General features: G+C 37.9%; 1 annotated feature.

The window, feature by feature from the left end:
* Positions 5,809-5,908: an enhancer, noted in NCBI's record as "active region_25223". NCBI's record gives its function as "activates an Ori minimal core promoter by ATAC-STARR-seq in GM12878 lymphoblastoid cells {active_cell/tissue: GM12878}" and the evidence as "EXISTENCE:reporter gene assay evidence [ECO:0000049][PMID:35858748]".

Genomic DNA, 10,046 nt, shown 5'->3' with positions numbered 1-10,046 from the left:
CATCTTCATGCTGGAAGAAGCTGGTGAGCCGCCCGGATGTGACACTACTGCATGGCCCAACTGTGAGGGCAGAGGTGCCGCCATCTGCCCTCTGTGAGGAAGTGGTTGCCTGAATGCAGTTTTAAAACAAACTTAAAAACAACCAACTATCCAGAAAAATGGATTTGCCACCATTATGCACCTGGTTAGCATTATTCAGATGTAAAGCACTCACACAGACAAAAAGGAAAATACTAGGATGTTAGTCTCCATTGCTAATAGGCAAGCCATGAAAGACTAAATAGGAATAGCTTAAAAACATGACAATAGACTTATTTCACTAGTAATCAAAGAACTGGAAATTAAAATTATTTATTTTATTAGTTATTAATCTTATTTGCATACTTTAAAAAAAGACCCTATTCAATGTTGTCCAGGAAGAGTGAAATAGGTACTCATCTCTATTAGTACAATCTCTTTAGAAAACAACATATAAATACGTGTGAGAGTAGGAAGGAAAAAAAACAATCATGCAGGTGGTTAGGGTTGGTCCTGGGTGAAACTCCTTCAGATCAAGAACAGCCTGAAAATCAAGCTGCAGGCCCCAGGTAAGAAAAAGCCTGTCTCCTTGAATGGAGACGCCTACTCTATGAACCCAGATGAACATATTCCACCCCTTTGTTGCACACATTTCTCTCTCCTTGGCATGGCTTTGTCCGTTTCATGTGCTTCCTCCCAATTTTTCCTTACTTTTCACGTATTTTACATATACCTATCCTTCTGTGATTGGTGCTGGCCGAATCTTTAGTTGCATAATGTGTAATGTCACTTCAGCCCCTGATTAGTTGCAGGCCAAGACTTCACCTCTACCTCCAATTGGTTCTTTTCAGTACTGTGTCCCTTTCTGAGTGGTGCTTTCTCCAAGATGTCCCTTGGAGTCAACGCACTCCTCCCACTTCAAAGTCCATAAAAACCCTGAACTTAGCCCTGCAGCCAACAACCCTCTTTTGGGTCTCCTCTGCTTGCTGAGAACTTTTCTGTTGCTTAATAATCTGACTCTGCCTTACTCACTCTCTGGTGTCCACGTCCCTTATTCTTCCTGGTCATGAGACAAGAACCCAGAGCTCACTGGTGGTGGGGGTAAAAGAGTTGTAACACTCCCCACCAACTCACTGAACAATAGGCGTGAAAAAGCTGCAACATAAGCACCAGGAGACTTAAAAATATGATACCTTTTGTTTCACACATTTAGGACTCTTTTATCAGGAAATAGTTGGAAAGATATCCAAAGATATGTACACAGAGGAGTTAATTTTAAAAAACATAATTGTTGCATAATTTAACCTAAAAATATCCTAAATACTTAATGTGAGGGAAACTAAGTTGGCATAGTCATATAATGGAATATTTGACCTCCATTCAAATTATATTTATAAAAGTATAATACAACAAAATGCCTATAAGTAAAATGTAAATGATGTAACATTTTAATTTATGATATGTCCTCCAGTATGTTAAAAATTTCTTTAAGTACTGGAGAATGTGTGCCAGAAGTTAAATATTTTTCTGGTAATATCATCATGAATAATATTTTTTGTTTACAGTGTTTTAGTGCTTCAAACTGTCTCTTACAATGATAAAAGGAAATTACACATATATAATATATATATTATGTTTGTGTGTACATAGTATATATGTATTTAAACATCTGAACGATGTTTAAGGTCCAAATTTGAACTTAATCACATTAATTTTGCTTTAGTAAAATATTCAACACTGCACTAGAGAATTGATAATAAAGCAAAATATGAGAAAAAAAGCCTAAAACTCCACATGGAAAAATGTTATAGTAAAAAAGTTAAAAGTAAACATAAAAAAAATTTCATAGAACAACAAAAGAAACCCAATAAATTTACTGAGGACAGAGGATAGAACTAAAAGTCTTAACGCAACAAATATAATGCAATTTTGACATGCTCAGAATATATAAATAATATGTATGTAATACATATGCATGTATATAAATACAGGTCAATACCTGAAGTTAGAAGTTTATTTAAATAAACCTTTTTCAGGCTAGGACAGCTGAACTTGGGGCATTTTTATAAATGTTATTAATTTTTAAAATTAATCTGCCTCTGAAAAAAAATTTAAGAGGAAGAAAGATATGCTAAATTTAAAACCCTAAAGAAAGAGTATTTTTATTGCTGTAATTAGATGTAATCAAAAAGTTGGAAATTATGTACCCAGAGGTTGAAGGCTGATTTAATACTCATGAAACAAGGCTCAGGCTATGATTTATAAATTTATAAATTAAGTAATTTTCTCTGGTGATAATGGTTTCTAGAAGAATTGGAGCAATGAGAAAATTTAAGTATGAGAAAAAGAATTTTAAAAGGAAACGTAGATGAGGCTTTATCTCATTTTTCTTCTCCAGATAGCATATGACTGAATTTACGGCTCTCATCCCCAGACACATTACATATGTGAATTTTGACACAACCACTTGTTTAACCAAAAAATGAATGACTGAGGCAAGTGTCTCAATCAGTAGAAGTTTGTTGGGTCAAAGTGTGAGACTGTGCCCAGGAAAAACACAAGCCACAGAAGCACCTGTGACCTGTGTTTTCCAAAGAGGGTTTTGTGAACTCAGTATTTAAGGGGAGAGAGCGTGCCAGTGCTGGGAGGAAGGGACGATGGGGGTAGGCAGTGAGGCAAATGGTTACAATCTTGTGAGGCTCTAATTCTTGATCAACAAATCTACGTTTTACATAAGACAAGGTAAACACTGAAAAGAGAGAGCAGAGGAAAGAGTCAATTATACAGCTGTCTCAGGGTAGGTGGAAGAGTGATTGATCTCATCTTGTCCTTGTTTGCTACCTGGCAACATAAGCTCTTAATGGACACTGTCAGTGTGAGTCTAACAGAACTCAGTTTGAGAAGTTTAACTCAGGCTGCAGACTTAAGGTTACAACTGGCATGTGTTTGCTTTATAAGAGGCTATGTATCCTGAAAGGATCCAGGGGCCAGCAAGGAATTTCCTTGCGAGCAATTTGTGAGGGTGTCCACATGGATAGGTATAAGGTCCTTTGATGTTGTGGGAAACTGGCTTATGTATACTGCTATGAAACAGAGTTGTGAAGTTACAGCTATATGTTTAGAGAAAGAAGAATGGAAGGGTTGAATGACTCAGTTCCCAGGCTTAACTTTTCCCCTTGGCATAGCAAGTTTGGGGGTCCTGAGATTTTATTTTCTTTTGCACACTGATGAGCTGATTGTCTTTGGACCAGGCTCAAAGCATTCCTGAACTTGAGTTTTCTCATTTTTAGTGTACCTGTTGTAAAAGCTGCAACTCTTATTGTAGTTCCTTAGTCATCTGTAATTTATTTTTCAACAATTTAATGAAATTCAATCTCAGTTTTGAAAACATGGTAGGATTGTACTTGCTTGCCTTCTTGTGCCTGGTTAAGGCCATGTGACAACTCCTGGTCAATCAGTTGTGAGGAGCAGAACCTCCATTGCCCATGCAGCACCCTACAAAGCTCTCTTTGCCTCTCTCTTGACAAGCAGAAACCCGTTGGTAGCTGTTGTGTCAGCCTGTATCATGGAGTGCAGTCGACATGGAGCACTCTCAGCCTCTGGCCAACCCACAATGGACATGTAGCAGGACAAGAAATAAAGTTTGTTGTGTAAAACTACTGCAATTAAGTGGTTATTTGTTAACACAGTATAAGCTAGCCTATATGAACTGATAACTAAACAAAATATTAAGCAATAGAGAATTGGCTAAGTGATTTATGATGCAACATAACTTGAAATAGTGTATAGTCATTAATTTTAATGTCAGATTACATTTTTGACATGAAGAGATGGTTATATTACTGAAAAAAATGCTTATTTAGATATAGATATGTAGATACATAGATAATATGGTACTTTTTAAGATATTTAATTCAAATTTATGTGCACATATTTGCATAGACAAAAATTAGAAAGTTTTGTGCTAAAATATTACACAGAAAAATACTATATACTAAAATATTAGGCCAGGATAGCAAGGTAGTGTTTTCACAGTGATATTTTCTTTTTGCTTAATTCTATACTCTCTTGTGTTTTATAATGAATGTATAAAACACTAATGAAATAATGAAAGTTTTTAAAGAGAGAAAAGAAAAATGTCGGTAGTGGGCTGCCATGTATGTAGCTGTATTAAAATACTAATTTCCCAATCCCCCATATCCAAATCAAACCATGTAGTAAATGCACTTGATAAAAATTGGGAGTCATTCTAGGGTAAAAGGCTGTTTCACTGGCATAATTATCATAGCTTGAAATGTCTCATCTTCAGTTGAAAGACAACGGTTTCAACTATAGAGGAAAGTTCTAAAAATGCAACTCCTTCCCATGGTGATAATAAGGCTTGACAAGTAGTATTTGCCCTTAGGCCTTTCCTGATCTTGTTATTTTCCTCTTTAGAAATGGCTCAAATGGCCTGCTCTGCTGAGAAACCCCTACAGTAGACACCTGACCTCTTGTGTTTGTGCTAAATCTCCATTATGATAGAAGCTTCTGGCACTTGTCAAAAAAGAAAAAACTGCCTCAGGGTGTTCATGTTGGTCACACTTTAAGGCAGTTTTTATTAAGTAATGTGTGGAAGCTTCTGGCAACTCCAGGAGAGATTAGTCCAAGTTCCTGGATTGTTCCAATGCTAACAATATCTTGAGTCTTTCTTATCCCCCAATAAACTGGGCACAAGAGCCTCAGAAGGAATACTGACAGAACTGAATTTTTAGGTGCTTCTCGTAGGCCTAAGGGCACAAAATTAGTAAAGTTTAAGGTAACCTTTTAATCAGTTAAGAGCATCAGTGGAGGAGAATTGCTTAAAGGCTTTCCTTTGACAGAGTATTTTTTAATTGATATGATAACGATGTCAGTGCATTTTCTCCCTCTTTGAAAATGCCTAAAGCCTTTTCAATGGTGCCAAAAGAGCGAAATCTAAAACCTCTTTAAAGGTAGGTCAGCTTCCAACTTTCAAAGAGTTAACATAGCATTCTGCCTTTTAGAATATTGCTCTGTAAATGTGAAGATGGGATGCCAGTTTCTCTGCCTAAGTAAATTAGAATTATATGGTTTTACACAGTATTGCAAAGTTATGGGATTTTTTTCCCCACTCAGTTCATAAGGTTGTTGTTCTGTTGTTTATCAAAATAGTCCAAACTTTGGGAAATACCATGAAATTGTCTTGCAATAGCCATAGAGCCAGACACTACTGTGTTTTTCACATCTCAAAGATGTCTGGTGGACCTGAAAGCAGCTTAGGTGCTATTCCCAGTGTCCAGTGGATGAAAAGACACTGTTTCCATTATTCTGATCCCTCATTGAAGCCTCACTAAAAGCCACTGCCTTATTCCAGCTGTGCAGCAAGGAACAAAGGAAAGGTCTGGCTCTAAACGTGGGAGTGAAGCAGAATGGGAAAGTGTGGTGTTTGCTCCCTGTGGCAGTCACTGTCTATGGCCAGCTGTGATCTCACCAGGGTTATCAAGTGTGGTGCTAGCGAAGTGATGACAAGTGTGCTAAGCTAAACTAAATTTGGCCTGAGGATGCCTCTGTACTTTGAGTCCCTATGTGAAGAACTGCAACCTAACTTATAATAGTGCTTAAACTGAAAGCCGGGAGTCTACTTTTGTATAAATAGCTGAGTCTCAGCCAATCACAGCAGCCAGACTTCAGTCAATCACAGGCTGCCAGCTGATCAGACCATATTCAAGTAAAGCAAAGGCGAAGTTGTAACCAGTCAAGCTGTTTCTGTACCTCACTTTCATTTTCTGTTTATAAATGCAGCTTGGCCATGTTGTGGGAGGGAGTTATCTCAACCTCTTCTGATTCAGAGCACTGCCTGATTCATGTATTGTTGTTTGCTCAACTAATATCTGTTATGTTTAATTTGTCTAAAGGTTTTTTTTTTTTAACAACTATAAGGTGGGAATGGAAAAGAAAGCAAAAGTATAAATGACATTTTAGATTTCAACTCTATGAGCAACTGGTATCTAATAGTGTAATGGAGAAGTCAAATCTGATTCCTAAGTTGTTTTTAAATCACAGATGATTAAGGCAAAACTATAAACTGAAAGGATAGTCTAGAACTTGTAATTTGAAGGTAAAATTAATTACTTTGAGAAAATTGAATTTAAAGTCCCTTCAGGACTTCCAGGCTGTCAATGGAAAGAGGTGGTTTTCGTTCCATAGTGTTATTGAAGCAACATTGTCGTGGCAAGTAAGCCATTAGGGGAGAAAGTAAAGCTGACATTACAATTTGGGTGGTGTAGGTGGTGCTATTGACAGTGATAAGGTAGTGGTAAGAAAATTAAAAGGTGGTAAAGAAGAAAATACTGAAGAGAGAAGAGAGAACTGCTAATTGATAGAGTAGGACCTTAAAGGAGAAAAGAGGGAGAAGTCAAGTGTAAAGGACGAGGGGAGGAAGGTAAATATTGGGAAGGAAGTTGTATTTCAAGAGTTTGTTATGCCTAGGGTAATTTTTCTAATACCTTTATCGTGTGTGTGCGTGTGTGTGTGCGTGTGTGTGTATATGTGCATGCGTGCATGTTTAACAGTGTAAAGCCCCTTTGCTCACCCAGTTGGGGAGTAAATATCAAATTTCCCAACTCAGCAAGCAGCGGGGCTTCATCTTCTGATGCTGGAGCTGACATCAGAGGTAGGGAGCCGAGGAGGCAGCCCCAAAGCTACATTCAGTTCAAAGGGCACTGTCAGAGAGCACAAACTAGGTCCCTGGGTAAAGGCGTATGGTAGGCTCAGAAGACAGAGTGAACATGTGCCGGAATGGGAATAGGGTGCTAAGCCTGGAGTAAGACCTCTTTTGCAGGGTATAAGCAGTCACGCCCATAGTCATGCGCACCAGTGAGATGAAGTATTATGGTCGAATCTTAAGCTTCGATCATATAAAAGTATAGAAAATACAATTGGGTTGAATTTTTTATTGAATTTTCAAGGCAAGTAGTGTATTTATTTTTAGTTAAATGGAAAATGACAATTAGGATCCATGCATTTACCCATTTATTTAGTATAAATATACATCACAAATGCGGAGTGGTTTATAATTTCTTTAAAATTTATTTTCCAAGTCCAATGCTTAATTTTATAGGCAGCCAACTCTGCATTTCATTGAGATAGAGTACCTCTCTTTGAGTTCCCAAATAAAAATTTACTTCTGATCTGCTGAGATTTGATTTTTATGGTTCTGATTAACAAATAGCAGAAGTCAAAAATGCCATTTATTTAGAAGTGCAAAAGTGATTTAAGAGATGAAGCCAATGCTAATTCATTGCATACCCTACAAAGTAATTGGTCTTTTGGTGAAAGATTTGATGGACAAATTGCTTCCATTAGTAAAGTGGTCTTAGGAAGGCTGATTTAACAAAAACAGGTCAAGTAGTTTCCAGCTTGATCTCTTTTCAATTAAGCCATTTTTGCAGAGCAAGAAAGTCTGACAAATATTTAACTGTAATTTTTTATGTCTTTCTAAATTATCTTCCTATTTCGTCAATGTATGTAAACTCCATTCTACATATTAATAATCACTGTATGTTAAATTGAGACATTTTTCATGTAATACTGCTTCATATTTGTATTTTGTAGATGTCAAAATATTTGCCATTTTAAATGTCTTTTTAGTGTGTCAAAACTAGTGTTTTTGCTTTTTGTTTTTATTTGTTTTTTAAAATCATGCCTTATTAGTCATTTGCACTATTGTCATGTATTGTGTCTTGGGAAATGGCACCCTCTAGGCACACTTCTTGGCATGATTGCAATTGCAGTCTGGGAGGCAGCAGAGGGTGTTGGGGGTCTCAGCTGCCCAGACTTGGGCAGGGAGCAAATTGAAATTGAAGCCTGTGCTTTACCTCAGTGCCCTGGAAAGCCAGAAGAAAATCCAAATGCCAAATCTGAGGAAAGGAATACAGAAAGGGAATGGAACCTAAACTGAAGATCTGCTACAAGGAAGAGGCCAGACCAGAATCAGGCTTAGTGGTCTGGGTACAGAGTTGAGGTAGAATGCCAATACCGCCATTGGCCTGCACAGCTGCCCTGAGTGTGGTATGCTCTTCCATGGGGAGAAAAACCAGGCTCTGATCTCTAAGGAAAAATAGAATTAAGTGGCATTATACAACCTAGTAGCGATGCCCTCAATAGCAGCTTCACAAAAAGTGCACAGGTCTTACACATATAATTGTTTTTAAATACTAGTTCTTTTTGAAAATGAAGGACACAATGTCAACATAATCTTCATAGAGTCATTTTATTTATTAGTTCTTAATACAAATGAGGACTTAATATTAAAGTTATATGAGGGGTTTTTACCAGACAGTAAAATTATGTAGTACAAGTCTGTAGTTTTCTGAATCTCCAAATTTATATAGAAATGAGGCTTAGAATCAATTCTGGATTTCATCCCTACCACTGTACCTCTCCTGCTCTTGCTGAGATGAGTGTGATTTTCATGTGGTTCATTTATTTGGAAACCTTAGATCTAATCTCATTTAACCTTTTGGAAACACTTAGTACTCCCTCCTGCTTAAACACTTTCTTAATATTAATAAATAACATTTAACCTGCATGGTGCTAAGAATATTACATTTTAATGCCACAGCCATATCATCAATCTCATTTACAGATGAGGAAATTGAGGCTTGGGAAGGTTAAGTAGCTTGATCAATGCATCAAAACCAGCAGAGTTCAGACCCTTTGTGTCTAATCCCCAAGCTGGTGTTCTTAACCAGCATGCATCCTGCACACCCACCTGTCGGCTTCCTGTACACCCTTCTCTCCTCCTCTCCGTTCTTCCTATTTGGCTCCTCCTTCTCTAATGGATCATTAGCTTCGACTGCATCTTATTTGGTGCAACAGTAGAGTCTGAACTCATTAGTAGTCCTTAGGCATGACTGCACACTGATATCACCTGGAAATTTTTATAAGGCAGATATCTGGGCACTATCTCAGATGAATGAACTGGAACCGTTGAGAATGGGGCTTGCCTGGACATCTGCAGGCTTAGAAGTTCTCCCGCCAATTCTAATGGCAGAAAGGGCTAAGAACAGAGACTCTAAAATAGTAGTTTCCAACAGGACTTATTTGTATTATCTGAGTAACAGTTTAAAACCCTATCTGGGATGGGGTAGGGAATGCGTAATTTTTCAAGGACTCACAGGTGATTCTGATGAGGAACCAGGTTCAGAAGCAACTTAGAGTTTCCTTCTCAATTACTCACTACAGAAGCACAACTTTATACAGGAGCTTTGTGGTATAAATATTCTGTGCTTTAACTATCAGACCACCATAAACAGCAAAATGATATTTTGCAACAAAAATAGAGAACATTGTGTTCAACCCTCATGCCATGACTGACAAGGGTCTCCATAGCTGACACCTGTTTGCTTCCACCTCATTGCTCACTGCTGCTGCTCCAGACCCTGTTGAATAGAAGCATTCCCAGAGCTCAAATGCTGCTTTCTGACTTTTCCCTTCTGCTGTTTCCTTTATCAGGAATTCCTATCCCTTTATTTCCAGGGCTGTGATGGGGTTCAGGACATGCTACCACATAATATTTGAATCTGAAAGAATTGAGAAAACCGCAGAAGCAGGAAGGTCCCTCTGCCTTCCCTTGCCCTTCCTCCCTGATGCAGTTCATAGAATCCAGAGGGATTTTCAGACCTTTCTCTGAAGCAGGTCATAAGACTTTCATGTGAGAGACACCCTCCCTATTCCCAGAAGAAGGGAACATCCTTACCTCCAAAGAAAGAACACAGAGGACTCTGAATGGGCCTTGCTGAGTTTCCCCCAAGTTTCTCGCCATTGGATCTCACTTTCTCGCCTGTCATCTTTCTCTGGGACTGTCTACTCTTCGTTAAAGCTAGCACAAAAATAGCCAAGTTTACCCATTTCCTTGAATCTTTTTTTTTTAATGAAGACTCTAGTGTCATGTGAAACATATATTAAATAAATTTGTATGCTTTTGTCTTATTAATTTGATTTTTGCAGTAGAGGCCTCAGCCATG

Source organism: Homo sapiens, chromosome 6 (genome assembly GCF_000001405.40).
Source record: "Homo sapiens chromosome 6, GRCh38.p14 Primary Assembly".
Classification (NCBI taxonomy): Eukaryota; Metazoa; Chordata; class Mammalia; order Primates; family Hominidae; genus Homo; species Homo sapiens.
This window is presented reverse-complemented; position numbering and strand designations above follow the sequence as displayed.